General features: G+C 47.7%; 1 protein-coding gene and 1 long non-coding RNA gene across 2 annotated transcripts in view, besides 2 other annotated features; one reads left to right on the top strand and one right to left on the bottom strand.

The window, feature by feature from the left end:
* Window positions 11,225-17,538, bottom strand: PDX1 (pancreatic and duodenal homeobox 1). The gene is made up of 2 exons (NM_000209.4): window positions 16,994-17,538; window positions 11,225-13,282 (listed from the first exon to the last, which is right to left on the bottom strand). Exons 1-2 carry the CDS (start codon window positions 17,397-17,399, stop codon window positions 12,837-12,839), a joined length of 852 nt encoding a protein of 283 aa, NP_000200.1. The 5' UTR covers window positions 17,400-17,538; the 3' UTR covers window positions 11,225-12,836.
* Window positions 12,402-13,068: an enhancer, noted in NCBI's record as "H3K4me1 hESC enhancer chr13:28498607-28499273 (GRCh37/hg19 assembly coordinates)". NCBI's record gives its function as "activates a minimal SCP1, AML or CMV promoter by ChIP-STARR-seq in primed H9 embryonic stem cells {active_cell/tissue: H9 hESC(primed)}" and the evidence as "EXISTENCE:reporter gene assay evidence [ECO:0000049][PMID:30033119]".
* Window positions 13,069-13,736: an enhancer, noted in NCBI's record as "H3K4me1 hESC enhancer chr13:28497939-28498606 (GRCh37/hg19 assembly coordinates)". NCBI's record gives its function as "activates a minimal SCP1, AML or CMV promoter by ChIP-STARR-seq in primed H9 embryonic stem cells {active_cell/tissue: H9 hESC(primed)}" and the evidence as "EXISTENCE:reporter gene assay evidence [ECO:0000049][PMID:30033119]".
* The window catches only part of PLUT (PDX1 associated lncRNA, upregulator of transcription), a 98,200-nt gene continuing 91,857 nt past the window's right edge, over window positions 20,247-26,589 (top strand). Inside the window, exon 1 of the long non-coding RNA NR_047484.2 lies at window positions 20,247-20,388. This is a non-coding gene — a long non-coding RNA (PDX1 associated lncRNA, upregulator of transcription). The remainder of the gene's footprint in view (window positions 20,389-26,589) is intronic.

Raw genomic sequence — 26,589 nt, 5'->3', positions numbered from 1 at the left:
TCTCATTCTTCAATTCCCACCTATGAGTGAGAACATATAGTGTTTGGTTTTCTGTCCTTGTGATAGTTTGCTGAGAATGATGGTTTCCAGTTTCATCCATGTCCCGGCAAAGGACATGAACTCATCCTTTTTTATGGCTGCATAGTATTCCATTGTGTATATGTGCCACATTTTCTTAATCCAGTCTATCATTGATGGACATTTGGGTTGGTTCCAAGTCTTTGCTATTGTGAATAGTGCTGCAATAAACATACGTGTACATGTGTCTTTATAGTAGCATTATTTATAATCCTCTGGGTATATACCCAGTAATACCCCAGTTGAGTCAAATGGTATTTCTAGTTCTAGATCCTTGAGGAATGGCCACACTGTCTTCCGCAATGGGTGAACTAATTTACAGTCCCACCAACAGTGTAAAAACGTTCCTATTTATCCACATCCTCTCCAGCATCTGTTGTTTCCTGACTTTTTAATGATCGCCATTCTAACTGGCGTGAGATGGTATCTCATTGTGGTTTTGGTTTGCATTTCTCTGATGACCAGTTATGATGAGCATTTTTTCAAGTGTGTGTTGGCTGCATAAATGTCTTCTTTTGAGAATTGTCTGTTCATATCCTTTGCCCACTTTTTGATGGGGTTGTTAGTTTTTTTCTTGTAAATTTGTTTAAGTCCTTTGTAGATTCTGGATATTAGCCCTTTGTCAGATAAGTAGATTGCAAAAATTTTCTCCCATTCTGTAGGTTGCCTTTTCACTCTGATGGTAGTTTCTTTTGCTGTGCAGAAGCTCTTTAGTTTAATTAGATCCCATTTGTCTATTTTGGGTTTTGTTGCCATTGCTTTTGGTGTTTTAGTCATGAAGTCCTTGTCATGCCTATGTCTTGAATGGTATTGCCTAGGTTTTCTTCTAGGGTTATTAAATTTATTATTTCACTGTTTCTGTCTGTCAAAGTCCCCCTTGGCTCAGCAGTTTCTCTGGTCCAGTGTTGGAGAGGCCACGTCCTTGTGGCTGCCCCCAGTTTCCTTGCTGTCTGTCGCCTGGGGGTGGTCGTTAGCCCTTACCAGCCTCTCTTGGGTCCTTGTCAATGGACTCCCTCATCTCAGAGGCAGCAATGGCTCAGTAAAGCCTCCTCATATTTGGAATCTCTTCAACTTTTCTTTCTGCTGTAGCTCTTGAATTCTAGCTAGAGAAAGTTATTTGCTTTCAAGGACTTGTATGATTAGATTGGGCCCACAAGGATAATCTAGAATAATCTGTTTATTTTAAGTACCTAATCTAATTATATCTCTAAAAATCCCTTTTGCCCTGTAAGGGAACATAGACACAGGTTTCAGGAATTGCAATGTAGACACCTTTCAACTTTTCAGGGACCATTATTCTGTCTACCATAGATGCATATCCTTCTGATTTGTCTCTTTTCCCCTGCTGCTGAGAAAGTAAGTGTATTGGCTGGAGTGCTCTAAGGGACTAGGGAGGTCCACAACACTTAGGGATGGCAGAATCAAATGTCAAAACCTCTTGGGTTCCACATATATATTTTTTATATACAATAAATATATATATATATAAAATAAAAATCTGGTAACAACCCACTAAATGGACTTTTTTTTTTTTTTTTGAGATGGAGTTGCCCAGGCTGGAGTGATCTTGGCTCACTGCAACCTTCACCTCCTGGTTTCAAGCGATTCTCCTGTCTCTGCCTCCTGAGTATCTGGGATTACAGGGGCGCGCCACTACGCCCGGGTAATTTTTTTCGTATTTTTTGTGGAGACGGGGTTTCACCATGTTGGCCAGGCTGGTCTCGAACTCCTGACCTTAAGTGCCTCGGCCTCCCAAAGTGCTGGGATTACAGGTGTGAACCACCGAGCCTGGCTAACTTGACTTTATTGACTAATCAGTTGCAACCTACTTTTTGAAAATATATAATATATATTATACATATAATATATATTATACATAATTATGTATAATATATATTATATGTATAATATATATTTATGTATAATATATATTTATGTGTAATATATATTTACATAATATTATATAATTACACATATATTATATGCATATATAATATATATAATTACATATAATATACATATATATAATATAATATACATATAATATATATAATTACATATATATTATACATATTTATGTATAATATATATTATACATATTTATGTATAATATATATTATACATAAATTATACATATAATATATATTATACTTATAATATATTATACATATAATATATAATATATAATATATGTATTATATATACATAAATATATTACACATATAATATATTATACATAATACATAATATATTATGTATTATATATAATACATAATATATAATATATTATACATAATATATAACATATTATGTATTATATATAATACATAATATATAACATATTATGTATTATATATAATACAAAATATATAACATATTATCTAGACCCCCCCTCAAAGAATAGGAGATTGTTCCAAGACCTTCTTAGTAAGTCATTTCCTTAGATGTTACTATATTGATTAGTATCAATATATATTATGTATAATAATATGTATTATATAAATATATTATACATAATACATTTATATATAAATATGTATTAATCATATCAATATGTATCTATATATTTTGTATAATATGTATTATATAAATATATATTATACATAATGCATTTATATATAAATATATATACATAAATATATATTACACATATAATATATATAATACATAATATATAACACATAATACATTATATATAATACATATATAATACATAATACATATAATATATAATACATAATATATTATATACAATACATAATATATAATATATTATATATAATATATATAATACACAATAGAATATTACATATTATATGTATTATGTATAATACATAGTAGGAATTTTTAGGGATCTCTAGCCCCTCCTCAAAGAATAGGAGACAGTTCCAAGACCTTCTTAATAAGTCATTTCCCTAGATGTTACTATATTGATTAGTATCAATATATATTACGTATAATAATATGTATTATATAAATATATATTATACATAATACATTTATATATAAATATGTATTAATCATGTCAATATGCATCAATATATATTATTTATAATAATATGTATTATATAAATATATATTATACATAATACATCTATATATAAATATGTATTAATACTAATCAATATAGTAACATCTAGGGAAATGACTTATTAAGAAGGTCTTAGAACAATCTCCTATTCTTTGAGCGGAGGCCTAGAGATCCTTAAAAAAATTCTAGTTTGTCAAGAGACTTTCTATCTTTGGTCATCAGACTATCCTTAAATTGGCTGAAATGCTTGTGCCTTACAAGTAAAGCTAGTTGCATGTGGGTATCAATGCTGTTTGACGTGTGACTTCAGTCAGTACAGCTGGCTTTTGCCTCTCTGCTTTATACAGTGGTAGCTTATTTTTGCTCCTACCTGGTCAACTTCAATGTGACTTTGCAGTCCAGAAATTCTCTTGTGAAGAGCCAGGACAAGACCTAGCTGTCCCCATCTGAGGGAGGACTCCAGGGCTCCAGGGAAAAGGGCATACATTCAATTGGTGTGGCAGTTGTTGCCTTCCCTGAGGTCCATTGAGCAAAGAGCTGTCTGTGATTTAGTAGGGCAAGAAAGACCTCAGCTTCTGGAAAAACCACATCCTTCTAAAGGGCTCCACTCAGCCAGGTGAGGTGGCACTCAGCCAGGTGAGGTGGCTGTCACCTGCAATCCCAGCCACAGGAGGCTAAGGCAAGGGGATTGCTCAAGCCCAGGAGTTTGAGACTAGCCTGGGTAACTTAGCAAGATCCCTATGTCTAAAAAAAAAATGTAAAAAGCTGGGCTTGGTGGTACTGGCCTGTAGTCTCAGCTACTTGTGGGGCTGAGGTGGGAAGATTGCTTTGAGCCCAGGGTTTGAGGCTACAGTGAGATGATAGGACCACACCACTGCACTCAAGCCTGGGCAACAGAGTGAGACCTTGTACCTAATAAATAAAAATAAAGGTTTCCACTCACCCAAGTATGTGCTCTTCACATACCTTATCTTACTTAACTCTCACAATAGTCACATGAGATGGGATTATCCCTAATTCACAGGGGAGTAGACAAGCTCAAATGGATCAAGTTATTTGCCCTAGTTCAGAAGGGCAGTAAATAGGGAACACAAAACCGGAAGCTAAACCCTGCCCAAGGTAGTGAAAAACAGCACTTTCAATTTGCACATTTGGCCAGGGATTGTTCCTTTTCTCCTCCACTGGACTGGAGGACAAAGGGTAGCATGAATAATGCCTTGTGCTTTATACAATCTCTGTTTGTGTTTCTGTGGAAAGGCCCAATCATCCACAGGAGAAATTATCCACTCTCCTGTCCTTCTGGCCTAGAAACGTAGTCTTTCAATATTAAATAAAAATAAACCACATGTTCATTGATTGCAATAAATCCAATTATATAATATTTTATATTTATTTATTTATGTATGTATTTATTATTTTTTGAGATGGAGTGTGGCTCTTGTTGCCCAGGCTGGAGTGCAGTGGTGCGATCTCGGCTCACTGCAACCTCTCCGGGTTCAAGCAATTCTCCTGCCTCAGCCTCCCTGCTAGCAGGGACTACAGGTGCTCGCCACCACGCCTGACTAATTTTTGTGTTTTTAGTGGAGACAGGGTTTCACCATGTTGCTCAGGCTGGTCCCAAACTCCTGACCTCAAGTGATCCGCCCACCTCGGCCTCCCAAAGTGCTGGGATTACAGGCATTAGCCACCCTGCTGGCCAATTGTTTATTTCTTAGAGATTATTTTGAACATTTAAAAATGCTTTATTTAGAGACAAGGTATTGCTCTGTCACCCAAGCTGGAGTGTATTGGCACAATCATAGCTCACTACAATCATAGTCCTAAACTCCTAGGCTCAAGCAATCCTCTCTCCTCAGCCTTTCAAAGTGCTAGGATTACAGGCATGAGCCACCTTGCCCAACTCTATTTTGTACTTTTGTTTTTGTTTTTTGAGACAGAATCTCAATCTGTGGCCCAGGCTGGAGTGCAGTGATGTGATCTTGGCTCACTGCAACCTCTGCCTCCCAGGTTCAAGTGATTCTCCTGCCTCAGCCTCCCAAGTAGCTGGGACTATAGGCACCTGCCACTAGGCCTGGCTAATTTTTGTATTTTTAGTAGAGACGGGGTTTCCGGGTTTCACCATATTGGCCAGGCTGGTCTCAAACTCCTGACCTTGTGATCCACCCACCTCGGCCTCCCAAAGTGCTGAGATTATAGGCATGAGCCACAGTGCCCGGCCTTATTTTGTACATTTTTTTTTGTTTGTTTCTAGAACTATGAAGTGGAAATAATTCCATGTAATATGTCGATTTCAAATCAGCAGTATTTCCAGACAGATTTAGAAGTGTGGGACTTCTGAATTTTCTAAGAGCATATGTAAATAAGAGAAATTACTTTCAAAATGTCATACCTTTTGGAAATCAGGCTCATTGAGAATTCTGAAAGAGGAGAGATAGAATTTATTCAATGATGTAAATAATTAGCAGCAAAAATATTGTTACACATAAATTTTTTTAAATTGACAAGTATTACTTGTACATATACATGGGGTACATAGTGATGTTTTACTCCATATTATGTGTGATGATCAGATCAGGTTCTTTACGCTTTTTAGATGTGTAATTATCATTAGAAGTGAGATTTCAGAGTATTCCACAATGTAGACAAGAATCTTGAATGCGTGCTGATGATATGGCATATATTTAAGGTTTCTATATGCTCTATGTTCAGGGAAGGACTCCAAGGTGTTCAACTTGAAGTTGAATGATAGAATACTGCTTAAAGTTAGAGCTATTTATGCTTTCAAAAGCCATGGGATCTCATTTACAGAGGAAATAATTTTAATGAAACATCAGGACTATGATTTTTTTTTTTTTTTTTGAGGCAGAGTTTCACTCTTGTAGCCCAGGCTGGAGTGCAATGGCACAATCTCGGCTCACTGAAACCTGTGCCTCCCAGGTTCAAGCGATTCTTCTGCCTCAGCCTCATGAGTAGCTGGGATTACATGCATGCACCACCACACCTGGCTAATTTTGTATTTTTAGTAGACACAGAGTTTCTCCGTGTTGGTCAGGTTGGTCTCGAACTCCCGACCTCAGGTGATCTGCCCGCCTTGGCCTCCCAAAGTGCTGGGATTACAGGCATGAGCCACCGCACCTGGAAGGAATATAATTTTATCATGTGCATTCCATCTTACAGATGTGTAAATATACCATACTTTAATATGGGAATCTGGCATTGACAGGTTATCACTAGGTAACCTATGAGCCTCATCCCTTTCAGCCAGCCACTTTCACTCTGAAATCACCTATTTTTAGCTGCTATTATCTGCAGACCTTGACCTCCCCTTCCTACCCAGTGTTTCCTGCCAGTCTCTTCCCACTGCTCAAGCTGACCATGGGAAGCAATTTCTTGATGGCTGGCTGCCAGATAAGAGGATGCATCATTCCCATTTCTTTTGCAAGGAGGCCTTCTGCTTCCTGCTGCCCTGCCTCAGTTTCCCATTAGGTTTATTGTTCCCACATCTAGCCTGTTAGAGCTGGGTTGGAGTAAAGCTTGATTCAATATCAACTCAGAATTTCCTTCTTCTGACATTTGTAACTACTTAATTTTCAGGAGGCTTTATAGGTAAATTTGTTGAAGTCATGAAATACCTTAGTTGTGAACTTCTTTTTTAGACAGAGAAGATTTTAAAGTTCCTTATGGTAGTACTTTAGCAATCTGTCAGCTTCTACCAAAGTTTCAACTTTGTGTTATTCTAAAGACAGCACTTCTTGCCTTCTAACGTTGTGCCAATTCAAAGAATTGAGACAGTAACCTGAGCGGACAGTTTTCATCATCAGCAATGCCATCAGACACCTGTGAGATGGCTGTGCTGTAATCCAAGCACTTTGGGAGGCCAAAGTGGGTGGATCACTTGAGGTCAGGAGTTCAAGACCAGCCTGGCCAATGTGTCAAAACCCCATCTGTACTAAAATACAAAAATTCACCAGGCATGGAGGCTGGTGCCTGTAATCCCAGCTACCCGGGGAGCTGAGGCAGGAGAATCACTTGAACCTGGGAGGTGGAGGTTGTAGTAACCCGAGATCGTGCCACTGCACTCCAGCCTGAGCGGCAGAGTAAGACTCCGTCGCAAAAATAAACAAGTAAATAAATACACACATAAAACAAAAAGTATATAGGAAGGTTTCCTTGGTCCCTAGACACAGCTGATCATTATCACTATGGCAACCCAATAAGACCACCCTAAACCCATGCACACAAACACACATAGGCACATAGGTTACACAGGCATCCTCAGAAACACAAAGATGGGGAGACTCACCCTCAGACACAAACCACACCTACAGAGAGAGAGAGAGAGAGCAGACAGAGAGAGAGAGAAAGAGAGAGAGAGAGAGAGAGAATGAGACAGAGAATGGGTGGTGGGGAGATGAAAATAGAACAGGTAGATTCACCAATTTGAAAAGGAAAGTACAATACTTAAATTTCAGTCAAACTTAAATGCATTGAACTGAACTGGTTGAAGGAGAGGATATGGAGAGGGTGGCAGTGCTAGACTAAGGAGGCCAAAATTAAGAAATGAAATGCCCTTGTTCAAAAGGAGCATTCATTTTGGGGAATCATAGTGACTTCTGTTTACTCTGGTAAATTCAGTCACTGATAATCAATTCAATCTCCATGACGGTATTGACCATCAAGTGGGAAGATGTGATTTGTCTTGTAAAAACTGTGAGTGCTTCCAGGGCAAGCACTGTGAGGCTTCCTGCGTGCCGCAGCAAAGCAGGAATCCAACATATGTTGCTGAATGCGTTCACGCCCCAGTACTGGAGCGAAGAGCAAGTTATTTATGGACATCATCCCTGTTAAAAACAATATGCATGACCCGAAATCATCACCAACTCTCAGATATTGTATGGTATGGATTTAGCTCTTCAAGGTGAGAACTTCTTCAGGTACTATGTTAGCCCACCTACAGGAAAAACTATATTGCGGAAGAAAATGAGAGGTGTTTTTGTTTGTTTCCCATGCACTATTTTTTGGCACTATGCGATCCGACACTACGAGTCCCCTACGCCGGCAGGAAACAGAGGGACCTGGAGGAAGTCCCATAGCTCAGGCCCCTCGGCACAAGCGTGCTCTCCCAGATACTCCACCAGGGTTCCCATTTTCAATGATTTCCACGTGATGGTGTAGGGTGAGAAACAAGTGCCGGATTTCCCGAATCGCGGGACTCAGCAGCTTCGACAGAGCCAGGAACACGATCCGAGAGATGGGGGCGCGCACGGAGCGCTCGGTAGGGTCGCCGCGCGTGATCCCCCCCGGATCCTGCGCATCGCTGGGCGGTGCTCGGTGAACTTACCTTACCTTGGGGTTGAAGATTCCAAGAGGAATGGAGGGCTTGTGGCTCCAGCTCGGACGGTCTCTGGGGCAAGGAGGTGCAGGAGGCTGCGCTGTTGGATTTCTCCTCGGGGTGAGCAGGGCCGGGCTGTCCTGCCGGCTCTGGAGCGCATATGCCGAGCCAGCGCGCACTTGGGTAGGGCTAACTGCGTTCAGCTTTGGCAGGAGCTCTGCTCTTCCTCTGCACCCAAGGCCACTTCCTCCGTTCCCCCACCCCAGACCTTTTGAAGGCCACTGGTGTCTGTCCATTATGAAAGGAGCGCGCCAAGCCCGAAGAACAGAGGAGAGCTGACAGCTCCCGGAGAAGTCAGGTACTGGGGTCAACCCTGGAGTTCTGGGACCAGATCACTTCCTTTGCAGAAAAGTCTTTCCCGAAGCCCAACTGGCTGCTTTTTTCGGCTTCCTTGGAGATCTCCTTACGGCCCCCTCACTCTGGAGAGCCCGGCACCGTGCACAGGCATGCAGTTCCGAGCGCCCTCGCCCCTCAGGGCCCACGATTCGCATCCACTGGCCAGTTGGCTGAGGGTGGCCGCTCAGAGTTTGAAGTACACATATCGGGCCCCACGCGAGTCTTCCTGTGGGGTCTGATCCAGGAGGTATCGGTCCAGCTGCCTAAGGGGTCGGGACGGAGCCCACCGTCCCGCCTCCGAGGCTTGGGTGGAGCCCAGAGGGGCGCTCCGCAGCATTCATTCCTTTCCCCATACTCTCCTCGAGGTCTCTCCGCCGAGCAGGACTTCGCTCTCCGCTGCCTCCCTGGGCCTCCCTGGAAGGTCGGTTTCTCCTGTTAACAACGCATCACCTCCGCCACCCCCACCAAGCGTACGGGAGACACCAGGTCCTGTCCTAAACTCTTCAAAGACATCATCATCTCCTTACCGCCTCCTTATGAGCCCACTGTATAGACAAGGAAATGGAGAGTTAAATGATGTAAGCAAAGCCACGAGTAGTAAGGAAGGACTGAATTCAAGCCCAAGGCGGCGCGACCTCCGGAGTCCGAGCTCTTCCCCGCGGGAGGCTCAGGCTCCGGTTGCCCGAGTCTCTGCCACCCAGAGAACTTCCAAGCAAAGCTCTGATCCCGGGCCCAACCCTGGTCAGTCGGAGGCCACACGCCTGCCCGAGTCATCCCGCGCCCTCGGCTGCCCGAAGACCAGTCTCAGGCAGCCTGTGCCTCTTCTCCTCTCCTTGGCGAACCCTCGGGTCTCGCGGAAAAGCAGCGGCTGGCCCAATTCGCAGAGCGAAGTCGGGGCCGGAGCCTTGGAGAGGGCGGCGGCTTCTGCGTGGGGTCCGAGGACAAGTTTCTGCGCCTCCACCAACTAACTGGTCGGCGGAGCTGCAGTTCTTTGCCTGGTGAAGTTTGCTGTGGAAAACCTAGGGAGTTTATTTATGAGGAAGGGCATCCTGAAACTAGGCAGTGTTCGGGAAAGATGAGTGGGTAGAGGAATAAAACTCATATCAACAGCGACAGTGTGGGGGTTTGCCAGAGGGGAGGGGCTGCCGGGGGACTGGTGGGGGACTTTAGAAACTCCACAACAGCAGCTCCCGATTGCCTCTGACGACGACGACGATGACAGCCTAAAACAATAGCTACTGTTTGTGGAGGGATTCCTAGATGCCGAATTAGCATTTTACAGGTATTTCTTGGTTTAAACCTCACAGCAACTCCATGAAGTAGTATTTGCCTCCACTTTCTGGATGAAGAAACTGAGTCACTGAGAGTTCGAATCATTTTATCAGGACTTCGGGCTGGGCCAATATTTGAGGGACCAAGGATGCGAGCGCAGATTTGCCCCACCCCAGAGCCCAGGCGGGTGTGGAGAACCGCAAGGAAAGAGCACTCTCAAGGATGCGCAAGTTCCCCTTTCTGATCCAAGGGACTTAATTTTATCCCGAGGGACTCGATATCTCTCTCCAGTAAAACAAAACAAAACAAAACGGCAACAACAAACAGCGTCTATCTTTGCAAAAAGTAAAAGAAAAGCAGCGACGCCTGGGAGTGAGGTACTGGTACTGAACACAGGGAGCGCCGGGGAGGGCCGTCGGGTGCACCACCGGGCTAAGGCGCCCATCTGAGAGCTTCCTGCAGGGAAGAGCAAAGTGGTCCTAGGGGTTGGAAGCCCTCTAAATCCGGGCATCTTTGCCTCTAACATAAGACACTTTTGGCCCTCGGCCTCCGGGGACAGAGACTCATCCAAAACAACGCTTCTTTTGGAAGGGTCACAGAAAACGGCCTCGCCTGCGTCCTCAGCTTTGGGAGGAAAGAGGAGACCTGACCATGGTGGGAGCCAGCGACGGGTCTCACCACCCGCAGCACTGAGGCGTCAGGTGGGCGGCGCTTGGCTCTGCCAGGAAGCAGTATTGGCCAGCAGTACTCCGAGCTGTCTCCCACGCTCTAGACTATATTACCCGAGAAAGTCATCATGAGAAGATATTCTTAAATTAAAAATAAAACAAAACTGGATATTCATCCCCTCACAGGGTGCTCCAACTCAAAACTCAAGTGCACTATTTCTTAATTACCTGATTTTTCCTGATTAGTACCGAAAAAAATAGACCCTGATCAGCCTGGCCATCATGGCGAAACCCTGTCTCTACTAAAAATACAAAAATTAGCCGGGCGTGGTGGTGTAAGCCTGTAATCCCAGCTACTCAGGAGGCTGAGGTAGGAGAATCCCTGAAAAAAAGAGGAACCCAGGAACGACAGAATGAGACCCTCTCAAACAAAAACAAAAACAAAACAAAACAAAACACGCTAATTTAATTTTAAAAGTGAATTCGAATCATCCCACTGCCAGAAAGGTTTGAAACAAAGTGAGGAGAATCAGTTTTCATCTCTTCCCATATTATCAGTATTTATTAAGCATTTCCCACAAACATAACCCGAGCACAAGGCCCAGACCTTGAAAAGAAGACAGACCTGGGATGCACAGACCTGTTTGTAAATAACTGTTAGGTAATTTTTAAAATGTTAAATAAGATAACTGGTTTTCCAAACCCTCCAATCACATACGTTTTCATAATTTCTAAAGATGTGAAGGTCATACTGGCTCGTGAATAGTTGTTGGTTTCCAAGGCGCACCAGGCCACTGTGCTTGTCTTCAGCACAGCCTCTACCTCGGAACAGGAATTACGTCCACATCCTAAATAGAAAGTTCCGAATATCTTTGGTTTAGTGGTCACCCAGGGGTCCATCTTTCTCCCTCACCCCCAGATCCAGGCCCGTCCCCCCTTGCCTTCCCTGCCAGCAGTGTGGAACTGGAGCACAGGGACTCTTGCACTGCTCCTAAGCCAGCCCTGCCGCTGCTCGCCCTGCCTTGCAAGATGTTCTCTTCCTCAGAAGAAAGGGGTGCAAGTTATAAGATGTGCAGTAGTGAAGTGTGCAGCTAGAGAAGAGGAAGAGGAGGGATGAGAAGGGGAGGTAGAAGGAGGAGGAGGAGAAAGAAAGAGGTCAGGAAGAAAGAGGAGGAGGAAGAGGAGGGAGAAGAAGAGGAGGAGGAGGAAGAGGACGGGGAAGAAGGGGAGCAAGAGGAGGGGGAGGAAAGGAGAGCACGTGGAAGAGGAGGAAGAGGAAGAGGAGGGAGAAGAAGAGGAGGAGGGAGAGGAGGGGGAAGAAGAGGAGGAGGGAGAGGAGGGGGAAGAAGAGGAGGAGGAGGAGAAAGAGGAGGGGGAGGAAAGGAGAGCAGGAGGAAGAGGAAGAGGAGGGAAAAGAGGAGGGGGAGGAAAGGAGAGCAGGAGGAAGAGGAAGAGGAGGGAAAAGAAGAGGAGGAGGAGGAAGGGGAGGGGGAAGAGGAGGAGGAGGAAGAGGAGGACTCACTGTATTCCACTGGCATCAATTTCACGGGATCTTTGAAAACTCAAACATTTCCTTTCAATTATTTCTAAACTTAAAGGGGTCGCCCGAGTAAGAATGGCTTTATGGCAGATTAAGGTACTCGGCCCAGCTTCCCCGCTGTGTGTGTTAGGGAGCCTTCCAATGTGTATGGTACAGTTTCCATTGTCTTTGAAGAGCCGGCTTCTCTAAACAGGTCCCAAGGTGGAGTGCTGTAGGAGGGCAGGGATGTGCGCAACAGCCACAAACAACGCCAATCCAGTATCACTAAAAGAGGGCCCCAATACTACAAAAACCAATGGCTCTTTTTCTTCCGGAAGGCCTGCCGGCATCTACCCGCGGGGCCCCAACTGGCACATGCGCCTGAGAGAGCGGGTTTTCCCCTTCGGTCTAAGGTGGGCCCCGCAATTGCCGCCCCATTCAACTGCCAGGGCGGGTGGTCCACGCCCGGGGTCCTCCTAGGCCCTCTGCTCCTCCTCGGCGAGTGGTTGAAGCCCCTCAGCCAGGAGCAGCTCCTGCCTCTCATCGTGGTTCCTGCGGCCGCCGAGGCGCGACGCTGGAGGGCTGTGGCGACGCGCTAAGGCCAGGCGGCAGGCGGCCCTCTCGGGCGGCAACGGGGGCAGCGGGCGGCACAGCACCTCCGGGGGGCGGCGGCGGCGGCAGCGCCAGAAGCTCCTCGCCGGAGGTCACGGCGCAGTCCTGCTCAGGCTCCGCGACCCCGCCACCCCCGACAGCTGTCCCGCCGCCGCGCTTCTTGTCCTCCTCCTTTTTCCACTTCATGCGGCGGTTTTGGAACCAGATCTTGATGTGTCTCTCGGTCAAGTTCAACATGACAGCCAGCTCCACCCGGCGCGGCCGTGAGATGTACTTGTTGAATAGGAACTCCTTCTCCAGCTCTAGCAGCTGTGCGCGCGTGTAGGCCGTGCGCGTCCGCTTGTTCTCCTCCGGCTCCGCAGCGTAGGCGCCGCCTGCGGGCGACACAGGGCGTGAGTGTGGCCCCCGGAGCCCCGCACAGCCCCCACCCACGCAGCCCAACCCCTTCAAGGGGGGCCAGGGAGCCCTAGCCCTACCAGCTGCTCCCGCCGGAGCCACCAAGCCCCAGCATCCCATTTCAGCGCCTAGTGTAGGCGCGCGAAGCTCTTCCCTAGTAACTCAAGCCCTTCCTAATAAAGATAGCCTTTTTATTGGAGACCAAACTCGAGTCAGCTCTCGCCGTGAGCCTAAGCTTGGCTCTGCCAATGAGTGGTCCTTGAATGCGCTCATATAATCGGTGTTAATCAACTGATTGATGTTGATTTAAATGTATATAATAGTTAAACCGGCTGGATCCTACAAAGGCAATAAAACGCCTTTAATCCAGGGCTAAAAAAAACCTCCTGATGGTGACCCACAAATGTGAGAAATACATTTCGGATCGTTGTGTAGTTCACACACGGACACTGCAGGTCAGTTATACTGACAAATCTTAAGGACATAAAACAAACGTTTACCACGTATGATGCTATCTACTTTTCTCTCCATTATCTGCTATTTCGTTTAAAAAATACTAATCTCAACCTAGTAAATTGATTTTATGACCTGCGAATGGGTGCAACCTGCAGTTTGAAAATCTTTGTGCTAATGGAGACTGTGACACATTTTGTTATATCTGACCATGTGTTTCCTCTCTCTATAGTTATATCGTAATTAGTCCCAACCTGAGAGCCAGCAAATTCTCCATAATTGTTTTAACTTCAGCCGGACTTCTGCCCGCGAAGTGAAGGAATATTGTTCTGGGGGTCACGTTGGCCAGGGCAGAACTCTGGCAGCTCCAGACTCTACGCCCTGGATCCCAAATGCCCTCAGAGGTGTTGAGGGGAGACACAGGGGCCCTAGCCCAGCTGCAGAACCGACAGCCCTACGGAGGAGGTGGTAGTGGTGCAGAAACAAGCCTCTCGTGTCTCCAAGAGGCAACAGGACGCCCTGGCCCAGGAGGTTGGAGACCCACATTCACTGTTTGCCGCTGCGCTCAGCCAGGTCCCAATCTTTTCTTTTCTGTGGAAAATACTGACTGCACCCAGGCTGTGGACGCTGGCGCGGGAAGTTCCACCAAAGTTCCGGGGAGAGGCTTGTCTTAGAGCAAAGGCAGGGGACATTTCTCCTGTGAATGTTGGCTAAGCCTTAAGGAATTGAAAGGCGAGTGTGTGTGTGTTGGGGGCGGGTTTAATTTCGCGATGGAACCCTACTGGGTTTCCCCCCAGGTCGAGAAGAGGCGCCAGAAGCTGAAGCAGAGGCTCAAACCCTAGTCCAGGGAGAGTTCTACTCCCTGGGGGCATCCCCGAATCTACCTGGCATCCCACGCCTGGGAGAGAAGCGAGACGGGCCTTCAATAAACATTTTGAAAGGCTCTCCAAAGTTTTTACATTAAACCGACATGTCTCTGGGTTCCTGCCTTAGGCTGCGGGCTTCGTATAGTCCCTGCGAGAGGGCTTCGTGAAGTCCCTGCGAGAGACTGCTCAGGGAGAGACTTCCTGGGGTGCACTATTCCCGGGGGACCTGTGCTCAGCGCGACGCGGCAGGGGTGGAGGTTGAGGATGGTGGGAAAAGGTCAAGGTCGCCAAGCCTGGGCCCTTCCCCAAGGCGCAGAGTGATGCAGTTTAGGTGCCAGCTGGACAGCGCTGCTGAAGCATTTGGGGGTCAATGTTTTTCAAAACCTCTGTTGTCATTAGCATTCAGATTCGTACTGCCAGTGAGAGCCCTTTTGTCACTTCGCTCTTCCCAGGGGCAGGTGGGTTTGCAATTTTTGAATTTCGGCTCCATCGAAGTTTCCCCTAGAGGAACGCGGGGATAGCAGCCGGCCCCGCAGACGGCTTCCAGGGGAAGAGAGGGGAGGTCGTCTCCTTCCCCGAGAGTCGAGCATGCAGCGGGTTAGAGGGCGCCAGCAAAGGCCTGGGGCCAACTCCAGCCCGAGAGTGTCGCCCTCCTTGGGTCCCCGAACCCTCGCCAAGGCTGCTGATTTGCCTTCTGGTTTTACTTTCTGGCTTCTTGGGTCAGCCTAAGCCCAAGTCCTCCAGAGCAGAGGTATCACCCCTTGGGTTGGGATAGGGAAGTTACTCCACCTCACAAATCCTCTTTCGGGACCCTGATGTCGCCCATTTCCTGAGGAAGGCCCAGGGTGGGAAAGCAGGAGCTCCGAGGGCCTAGGAGGCCAGAAGAGAGGTCTGGAGGGGAGGCAGCCCTGGAAGAAAACTGGGTGAGGACGAGGAGCCCCCCACCTTTGTTCGAGGGACTGTCCTCCCGCCTCCTAAGAACCCCGCATTTCCGGAGACTTCAAGGCCTTTGGCCCGGGCTGCGCGAGCTGGATAAATTTGCAGAGGCGCCGCGGCAGCTTCTGGCGCCCCTGTCAACTGGGTTTCGCTGGAGGTGGGGACGATTGCAGCGCAGTTCAGCCCTCGTCCTGCCTCAGGACCTTCGCCTTAGCAAGAAAGTGAACTAGGAAGAAGAGAGTCCCGTGGACCCCAGGCAAGCTGGGGTCCCCCTCCCTCTCCCGCACAAAGCCCCTCCTGGCTGCGCCTGGGGTCAGTGTCAGGCAGGGCTGGCCAGACCCCGCAGATGGGCGCTGAGGATTTTCGGGGTGGGCCGGGGGACGCCGGCTCGAGCTGCTTCCCCCTACTCCCGGCTGCCAGTTGAAAGGAAAAGGCAACTATTTGCGGTGCAGGTGTGACCAGAAGTGGCTGAGGCACGGCAGCGATGACAGTGAGTAGCGGCGACGACACAGGCCGCGCCGGAACTTGCCGCTCGCGCGGGGCCGCAAAGGACCCGGGGGCTACCCCGTGCCTCCGGCTCCCGGCTCCGGGAAAGACCTTCTGTTCTCTGCCGGCGCGGAGGGCCGCAGGAACCAGGCCTCTCGCCTCCCCACCAGCTAGGCAGGGAGCGCCCATCTCCTGAAAAATTACTTCCTGGGAAGCGGTGCGGGGAGACAGCTTCAATTGCTTTCGGTTGGTGAAAAACGAATTCGCTTCTCAGATTGCTCTCCTAGCTGCCAGGCTCTGACGTTGAGAGGCCGGCTTTCAGCCTCGCGGTGAGCCCCCGCCTTGCCCCAGCCCCTTCCTCTTTACTCCTATCCTGTTTCCACAACCAGGGCAGCCGGACACTGCTGGGTTGGGTGCAGTTTCCTTTCCCTCCCTGCCTTTCTGCACCTACCTGGCGCCCCTAGATGCCTGCCCTTCCTTAACGAAGCGCGGGAAGTGAGGGGCTCCGGGGCTCCGAAGGCGATCTGGGGCCTGGGTCCGAGGCACCCATGTCCCTACTCGGCTTCCTCGATGTGCACTACCAAGGAGTCCTGGGTTCCCGGATCCCCTGCTGGAGGAGGATCTGTAGTGTCCGAAGCCCTGAGCAGGACTCAGCCTCGGCTCTCTAAGGATGGCGCTGGGAGCGCGGGCTCCTGGGGCGAAGATGGGCTCAGCGAACAGGGAAGGAAGGAGTGTACACTCCCAGGAGAGCTGGGTGGGAAAGATGCTTCAAACTGGACTAGAGAAGCACTGCTGTGAGGGATGGGCTCGGTAGCTCCCTGATGTAGTTTAGTCCGACCCGGGATAATCCAAGGCGCCGGGAACAGAGAGAAGGCTCCTGGGAGCGCTTGGAGGTAAGGCGGCCGGGTGAGAACCGGAAAGGAGAAAGGGGTGGGGAGCCAGGCTTACCTGCCCACTGGCCTTTCCACGCGTGAGCTTTGGTAGACTTCATCCATGGGAAAGGCAGCTGGACGCGGTTGGGCTCCTCCAGGACGCCCGGCTCGGCTCCCTCCGGGAAGGGCCCGGCGGGCGGGTGGGGGAGCGCGAGCTGAGCCGGGAGGTGGTGGTGAAGGTGCGCCACCGCGGGGTCGTCGGCGAGGGGGGGCACCTCGTACGGGGAGATGTCCGGGGGGCTGCCCTGCTCCAGCGCGCCCAGGGCGCCAGGGAACGGGTGCGGCGGCGGCGGCGGGGGCTGGCGGCCCATGTACAGGCACGCAGGGGGGCTGGCGCTGAACTCCGGCGCCGGGCCTCGCTGGAACGCGCATGGGTCCTTGTAAAGCTGCGTGGCCGCGTAGTACTGCTCCTCGCCGTTCATGGCTGCGGCCCGGGATTGGGCACCGGGAGCCGGGAGCCGGGAGCCGGGAGTCGGGAGCTGGAGCCGGGGATTTGGCACTGTGTGGCGTTCCCACTCCCGGCGCCACCCCTGCTCGCTTTGACAGCTCCGCACTGATCTCAGAGGGAACCCACAGCCAGCGCGGACCGGCGGGCCGGCCGCCGCACCATAGGCTCCGCGGGGCCCCACGTGGTTCAGCCGGGGGCCGTGATTGGCCTGGCTGGCCGCACTAAGAGGCTAGGCCCAGGTACCCGCGAGCACCTGCTTTTGTTCCAATTTTCTCTCTCAGCTGAGTTTGCTGCACACTCCTGAACGGGCAGCTGGCGGTGCTCCCCAAAATGGGCGCTCACGAAAACATTAGAACCACTCATTTATAGAAACATTTTCACCGTGGCTTAAAAGTTTCTATTTTCCTATATTTTTCTATTTTCTATTTTCCTATATTTTTTCTATTATATTTGATAATGGACATAGTGTGTTTGTTAATTGATGTAGTTTACAAGGAGACATGTTGAGTTTTTAATTTTTTATTTAACTGTTGCGGAATACGATAAAAAAAAAGTTTGCAGACCCAGCTCTCTAGGTCAGAAGCATTTGATTCTATTTTATTTATGAAGTTTGTTCACAGCCACAAAGATGTCGGTTAAAAAACACACGAAACTCTGGCATTCGTTGTGTGTTTTTACTTGTGGATGTGCTGCAAGTACTTCTGGGGTGTAAACGGTAACTTCTGAAGCATTCACAGAGACTTTTTTAAATTCTTTTTTTTAAAAAATTGAAGGGTATTACAAATTTGGGTTTTGGAAAATTGGGGCCCATTTGGCCAGCCCGGAACGTAGCTTCCCAATACAGCGAGGGGGAAAGACGCGGCCTTCCTCTTGGGGCTGCGAAGCAGGGGCAGGTGTTGGCACGGGGGTTCCAGACCCTTGACGACTCTCTACGGGCCGGGACCCTGGCGGAGTTTGCCGGCAGAGAACACTCACTCTCTTCTGCTTGCAATTGAAATAAGGCAAGCAGGAGAGGGGGAAGTGGAGGAAGAGTTACATATTTAGAAAAAGAAATAAAAACGCTGCATTTTCCATGATAACATCTGTGCTTGGCTTCAAACCATTCAGTAACTTCTGGGCATTCTGGGGTCCTGACTTAAACAGGGCCACTTTTTCTGCACCCACTGACGCGGATGGATGACCTCCGGGTGGCGGTGACGTCCAACCCCCTGCCTGGGCATGATCCGCTAGGCCTGGCGGCCTGACCAGCCTCTGACTGGATACTCCCGAAATGAGGACGTTTCTCGAAACGCCACCGTGGGTTTTAGAAAAACTAGACAGCTTTGCAGAAACGTCTCAGCAAGAGAGAGCTTGAACCACAAAGAACCAAGCCAGAGAAAAATCACTGCTCCGCCTTTCCTAAACAACGCACCAACATCCAGACCTTTGAGAGTCAATCTTAATGTATTTCTTTCTTCCTACTGGAAATATTTGTGTTTTAAGTGCGGATTGAGTGCTCTATTCTGAGGACTCTTTATTTTTATTAAAAGACAAAAAAGCCAGTCGGGAATGTGGACTTCTCTGCAGATTCCTTCTCTTGCGGGAGGCCGGTATAGTCTCAGCATTTGCTTCGATGTGTGAGAACTCATGTGTGTGGCTTCCTGGCCTGTGGCCTCATGTGTGTGGCTCTGATGTGTGGCTCCCTGGCTTGTAGATGCCCTTGCTGTCACCGAAGACAGGCCAAGGGAAGCACGGCGGCGGGCGGGGAGAGTTTCGGTGATTTCTTCAGGGAAAAGTGCCACCTGCAGTTTTGGTGGGGGCAGAGAGTGAAAGGCCGTGGGGCCCGGGCACCTAATCTCTGTGCGCCCGCGTCAATGAGTCCATTGTCTGCGGCCGCGGAGAACTCTACCCTATCACCCTGGCCGCGAGTGACCACATCGATCAGGAGGGCAGGCTGGAGGGGGTTGCCTGGCCGCGGCGTGTTGACCCTTGGAGATAATCTGCCGAGTCGCCGAGGGTTGACTTGGCGACGCGGTTATGAGCGGACGGCAAGCTCCGCTCAGGACAAAGATCGGCCACTTTTCCCCTCCCCCTCCTTTTCCTCCCCCTTCCCCTCCTCCCTGGGCACCCCTACACCCACTCTGGACTCAGTCTGCGCCCCACTCTCCCTCCCCTGCTCCCTGCCTCGCCTGCCACCCCCGGAGTGTTTACTTTGCACTTCTCAACTAATTGCACATTTCTGTAAATTGGTCTCCATTTCGATGCTTCATTTGCTTCCATTTAATATTTTTGCTCGGCCCTGCAGAAAGAAAAGAGGCTCTCAGCAGAAAGCAAATCCGCCGGTTGCGGTCGCCGGCAAAAACCCGGGTACCCGCGGCTGTGGGGGAGGAGGAGGGGATCGCCGGGGGTATTCCATGGAGGCGCGTTCTCACTTTCACAATTAGCATTTTCTGCTGCCTGCGACCTATAGAAGGGACCCAGGGAGCAAAGGTCAAACAACCATTTATTATTGTTATTATTATTATTAGATGAAACAAAGTTATCTGGAATTTTATCACGTACAGCCGTATAAAAAACGCATCAAGCGGAACCCTCCGCTTAGTAAGGTCGTGTGTTGTACTTCCCCGTGGATCTAGCTCCTGGTATCGTAAAATCGCCGAGTCCATTACAGGCGAAATGCGTTTCCGCTCTGAATCCCCGCTGACGCCTGCGCCCCCTCCAAGCCGCCTCGCCCACAACAGGCCCGGCAGCGATACCGAGCCATTAGGCGAGCACCTTCCCGAGCCATTTAACAGCAGCTCTTATGGATAAATAAACAAAAAAGGCTGTAAACCAATTAAAGTGTGGACAGTGAAAAAGTCGTTTATTAGCTGGACGTCCTGATAGTCCTCGCTGATACTGGAGGTCCTTGCCGGCCCTCTTCCCCCTTTCCCTTCACAGAGACGCGGTTTACACCCGGGAGAACACAGGTTACCTTGTTCTTGGTAAGTGGCTAAGTCTTCCTCGGTGGTTTCAGAGGCATGCTAAGGGCTGAATTTGGCTTGGTGATAGGATTTTTAAGCCACTGCATCCCATTATAAATGAAAAAAACAGATGAATCCCACTTAACTCCAAGGTATACATCATGAATGCACGTGGAATTTATATTCATTTTATAATTAAATCTCTGTTGAAAATAAAAATTGTTTCTTGAGTTGGAAAATTCTGTAAAGCAAACGATGTGATGTGTGGAATGAGAATACTTCTATAATTGATTGCACTTTAGTTCATTAGCATTTCCTTCAATGAGCACTAATGCAGGCAGGTTTTCATTTTCCTAAGTCGAATCAATGTTTCCCTCCTGCTGGTTTATGAATACCCAGAATTGGCCGAGGGCGGTGGCTCACGCCTGTAATCCCAGCACTTTGGGAGGCTGAGACAGGCGGATCATGAGGTCAGGAGATCGAGACCATCCTGGCTAACATGATGAAACCCCGTCTCTACTAAACCTACAAAAAAATTTAGCCGGGCGTGGTGGCGGGCGCCTGTAGTTCCAGCTACTTGGGAGGCTGAGGAAGGAGAATGGCGTGAACCCAGGAGGCGGAGCTTGCAGTGATCCGAGATCGCGCCACTGCCCTCCAGCCTGGGAGACAGAGCGAGGCTCCGTCTCAAAAAATTAAAAATATATATATATATATAAATAAATACCCAGAATTTGGTATCCAGGTCTGAGAGGGGCCAGGGAAACCCAGCTTGGGTTGTGGGGATTGGAGAGAGGAAAGGACCTCAGACTTTGAATGAAGGGTTTTCCAATATTCCTAGGGCTAAGCAATCTAGTGAAAATAAGCAGAGAGCTGAAATTATTTTCCAGATGATTCAGTGATCCCTGAACTGTAAAGATAAAAGCAGCTTAAAAACCGAATTGAATTGGGTAATTGTCTTATTCCCTACCTTGTTAGCTCTCTCTGGTGTAAGAGGAGTAGAAGGGCAGGAGGGGGGACTCCGTGTGCCCCAGAACTGTCTGCTGCTTCCTCCAGCCACTGCTCAACGCTTCCTCCCTGGGAGTGGGGCCCCCAGGCACGAGCTCTTTCCACTTTTGGTTTAATCCTTCCGTGGTCCTCAGTTCACTCTGCTGATGAAAGGAAAAGTATGAAAGGACTTTCAGGCTCCAAAGGATCTGAGGTCAGCTGTTGCTCCCCACTCCTGGTGTTCCCGGTGGCTCACCCCCTACAGCTCTGGACTCACCCCTTTGGTTGTCTCATCTCTGGTTCTACCTTCCAGATGTGCAGTCTCCAGAAATCCCTGCTGCTTCCCTTCTGAGCTTAGTCCTAGGTAACCAGCTCCTTGCTTCCACACAGTTCCTTTTCTTTGCCTTCCACCTCCTCCTCCCACCACCATTTCCTATGACTAATCCTTTGTTCTCCTAGGAGCCTCTCCTTACCTCCAGGTTCCTGCTGCAGCCTAAAGAAGGCTTGACCCACACTACCCTCCAGCTTCCTTCCTCAACCATCCTACATTTCACATGGTTTATGCTTTGAAGGACCCAGATTTTCGGTAACATATACTGATCAAATGCCTGTAGATCTCTCACTGTGCACCTGCCTGCACACTCTTTGAGTAACCAAAACTCATTGGTAGAAATATGCGCTGGCTTTGGCGGGCCATAGAAAGGTCAGGAGCTGCATACACCTGTCCTCCACATCAGGCTCTGCCCTGCACAAGCTGTGTGTCCCTTGCCAAGTTACATGACTTCACTAAGCTTCCCTGCCCTTATTTGTAAAATGGAAATACTAGCACTGTTCCATAAGCTGGCCCCGTTGCACATAGTAATCGTAATGGCAAATGCATGGAGCCAGGCGTTGTTTAAATATTTTCCAATGTTAACCCCATGAGCCAATTACTGTTATCCCATTTTCCAGTGGAGGAAATTGAGGCCCAGTGATGGTAAGTTACTTGCCTAGAATTATATAGCTAGTAAGTGGCAGAGCCTAGATCCAAGCAGAGATGATGTGGCTTTTTTTTTTTTTTTTTTCCAGATAGAGTTTTGCTCTGTCGCCCAGGCCAGAGTGCCATGGCATGATCTTGGCTTACCGCAACCTCCACCTCCTGGGTTCAAGCGATACTCCAGCCTCAGACTCCCAAGTAGCTGGGATTACAGACATGTGCCACCATGCCTGGCTAATTTTGTATTTTTAGTAGAGACGGGTTTCACCATGTTGGTCAGGCTGGTCTCGAACTCCTGACCTCAGACTATCCACCCACCTTGGCCTCCCAAAGTACTGGGATTACAGGCCACCATGCCTGGTTTTTTGTTTTTTGTTTTTTTTTTTTGAGACTGAGTCTTGCTCTGTCGCCTAGGCTGGAGTGCAGTGGCATGATCTCGGCTCACCGCAACCTCTGCCTCTGGGGTTCAAGCGATTCTCCTGCCTTAGCCTCTCTAGTAGCTGGGATTACAGGCACGCACCACCATGCCCGGCTAATTTTTGTATTGTTAGTAGAGACAGGGTTTTTCCTGTTGGCCAGGCTGGTCTCGAAGTCCTGACTTCAAGTTATCTGCCCACCTCGGCCTCCCAAAGTGCTGGGATTACAAGCATGAGCCACCACACCTGGCCTTGATGTGGCCTTAAAATCCATTCTGTTGGCTGTGACACTGTACTATCTTACTATATAGTAGGCACTCAAAAAATATTTTTTATTGTTTTTGTGAGGATTTAATGAGACAAAACATCTAATGTTTTTGGCACTTTGAAAGCATTCAATAAATGGTCATCTCTTCCTTTCTCCCCCAGCATTGCTTTTAATGTGCATATAAACATTGAACTATTGGCTATTACTGCATCCAGAAGAATGACAGACTATCACCATGAGCTGATGTCTAAAGATATTTCCAGATGGGTAGACCTGGAAAGGTATATTCAGGAACACTGGGAGGAAGTACTTAGTAGGTATATTACTCAGTGTTTTAGGGGAATGTGCCCCCAGGTACAGTCCTGCTTAAAAGGGCTGGAGGAGGTGGATTGCTGGAGAACTCTCATGTCCGCCATCAGCACACCACAGAGAGACCCCACAGGTGTGGAGAAGGGGCAGGGCCTTCTTTTTCACAGCCAGGAAAGCCAAAATAAAGACTTGAGCAGGTGAACTAATCACAACTCAAAATGCCTTAGCTATCCCAGTAGGTGTGGAACCCAGCATCTAAGTAGTGTGTTCTGGCCAGAGAGCACCCCCACTAGCATTGTCTGTGGTTCTTGCTTTCGTGGGTTGGAGATGAAGCTGTCATCATAAACTCAGAGGAAACCTTAAAATGTCTAGGGAGGGAAAGGAGTCATTCTAGTCTCTAGGCCAGAGCAGAGCTGGAATCCTGCCCCATTCCTGCTTTTTCCACATCAGAAAAACGGTCATGGTCAACCCTGGTTGTCTTTGTGAGGGTGCAGGAACACTGCCGTCAAAGTGATTCCTCTGTGTGTCCCCCCAAATCAAATCCACGTTAAAATTAGAAATCGATGGGGTTAAGATGGGAGAGTCAATGCTAAACTCAGAGCAGCACAAGTGAAGCCTTCTCTTTTGACAGCCTAGGCTAGGTCCACAGCCTCTCTTGCAAAGATTAAAGTAAAAGGCTAACTGACTGTGGTCTCAACTTTATCATATTTGCCAATTAGGAATTCTTCCTGTGGTAGATATCTCTTAGGAGTGTATTGTTGTGAACAGAGACACAGTATTTGGATACATTTATTTTTTATATTTTCTCCAGTTACATATTGCAACACATTTACCTTCAGGCAAATCTCAGAAAAATACAAACTCTTACTAATCAATGAAGTAACATGGATTTATAGGGAAGTGTTCCTGGAAGTGTGACTCATGAACTGTGTATATCAAGAATCACTGGGATGCTTATAAAATGAAAATATCTGAGCCCAACCCCAGACCTTCTGAATAACGATATGGGGGTGAGTGAGACTGGGGAGTCTGCATTTTAAACATGTACACAGTCATTCTTTTTTTTGTTTTTTTTTTTGTTGTTGTTGTTGAGACAAAGTCTCACTCTGTTGCCTAAGCTGGGGTGCAGTGGCCCAATCTCGGCTCACTGCAACCTCCACCTGCTGGGTTCAAGCAATTCTCCTGCTTCAGCCTCCCAAGTAGCTGGGACTACAGGCACATGCCACCATGCCTGGCTAATTTTTTTGTATTTTTAGTAGAGATGGGGTTTCACTATGTTGGCCAGGCTGGTATTGAACTCCTGATCTCTTGATCTGTCCACGCTGGCCTCCCAAAGTGCTGAGATTATAGGCGTGAGCCACTGCGCCTGCCCACAGTCATTCTTATCAACATTATAAATTGAGAACAACAATAGACACCTCAAGCATAATTTATTTGTTATATAGAGATTTATATACTCTCTTAAAGAACTCATGAAGCATGCACTTTCAAATAAAAATATACCTGTGCATCATGAGGTTGTGGTGAGGTCGAAATGAAGAAATCTTAGAAAAATGCCTAAGTCAGTGCAGAAAGCAGAAGTTCAATAGATGTTATTTGAACCCCTATATGGACAAGATGCTTATCAATCCTCAACATTCTCATAGGTTTGCCTTTCTCTCTTAGACATCACCCATTTTAAAATTTATTTATCTTCTTAATTGAGACAGGGTTTCCCTCTGTCACCCAGGCTGGAGTGCAGTGGCACAATCTTACCTCACTACAGCCTCAACCTCCTGGGCTCAAACAATCTTTTCTCCTCGGCCTTTGGAGTAGCTGGGACTACAGGCATGCTCCACCATGCCCGGCTAACTTTTTCTTTTTTCTTTTTTTTTTGTAAAGGCAAGGTCTTGCTATGTTGTCCGGGCTGGTCTTGAACTCCTGGCCTCAAGCGATCCTCCCACCTAGGCCTCCTAAAGTGCTAGGATTACAGGCATAAGCCACCTTGTTCAGCATCCATTCTTTGTGACTAAGTATTAAGGGAGGATCAGCATGATCTTACTTTGCTACTGTGTTTACTTGGACTGAGCTCTTTAGAAAGAGTGGGACTCTCCTTGAGATGTTAATGTGGCTCTGACATGGGCTCTGTGAACCTGAGCTGAGCATTTCCAGTCACAGTAGCTACCACATAAGAACAAATAAAGGGAGGTAATAAAACCAAAGCAAATTGATTCATCTCCAGGCAGTACCATTAACTTGTGTCTTAATGCAATGCTCTGTCTACACTGAACATGACCAAATAGCTTCCTTTAAAGGTAAATGAATTTTATATAATTTGCAGCTAATTCCATTTAATTCTGCCCACATGAGCATGTGATAAGGGAATGTTAAACTGGTTAACAACACCAGGCTAAAAGGGGCGTTCAGGAGGAGCCAATATTTGATTTCCAAGTGCTGTGGCTCAACTCTGAGAAATCCAGATTACTGAGTGTGTTGGTTTCTTGGTTATTTGCTTTCTGTTCTCCTAGCTCCTGAGTAAAGGGCAGCGAGAAAACACTAGGATCCCATCTGTCACAATGAGGCCAGTTACAACAATAGCAACTACTCTTTTTTTTTTTTTTTTAATAAAAATCACTCCTGGTCTGACAAACTCCCTTTGGACTGCAGGGAATCAGGAAGAGTAAAAATACTAGAATCAATAACAACTTTGTTATCTAGTAACTTAAACAACCCTTGCCTGCTGGGATGGTAGAACAGGCTTTCTTATCTTGGAAACAGGAAAACTTTCTGGATAGTAAATTATTTTTCACCAAATGTTTCTAACTGCATTAGGTTCCTAGAGAAAGTGCCTAAGGTAGGAACCATGCAAAATTGTAATCACTTAGACATGTTATTTTAAAACATGGGAAAGAATTAGGTCTTGAAACCTAATACATATTGTTTCCTCTTTCTCTTCAATAGAATGTCAGCTGGGCACGGTGGCTCACGCCTGTAATCCCAGCACTTTGGGAGGCTGAGGTGGGTGGATCACTTGAAATCAGGAGTTTGAGACCAGCCTGGCCAACATGGTGAAACCCCATCTCTACTAAAAATACAAAAATTAGCTGAGCCTGGTTGCGTGCGCCTGTAATCCTGGCTACTGGGGAGGCTGAGGCAGGAGAATCTCTTGAACCTGGAAGGTGGAGGTTGCAGTGAGCCAAGATCACGCCACTGCACTCCAGCCTGGGTGATAGAGTGAGACCCTGTCTCAAAAAAAAAAAAAAAAAAAAGTCAACAGTTGTATAATTATT

The sequence above is a fragment of the Homo sapiens genome, chromosome 13 (genome assembly GCF_000001405.40).
Source record: "Homo sapiens chromosome 13, GRCh38.p14 Primary Assembly".
NCBI lineage: Eukaryota > Metazoa > Chordata > Mammalia > Primates > Hominidae > Homo > Homo sapiens.
Note: the sequence above shows the minus strand (reverse complement) of the source record. Positions and strands in the feature narration are given on the sequence as shown.

Coding starts and splice junctions, on each gene's coding strand:
- PDX1 (NM_000209.4), bottom strand. CDS start 17,399: ATGAACGGCGAGGAGCAGTACTACGCGGCCACGCAGCTTTACAAGGAC. Junction 13,283..16,993: donor GTGGAAAGGCCAGTGGGCAG/GTAAGCCTGGCT, acceptor TGTCGCCCGCAG/GCGGCGCCTACGCTGCGGAG.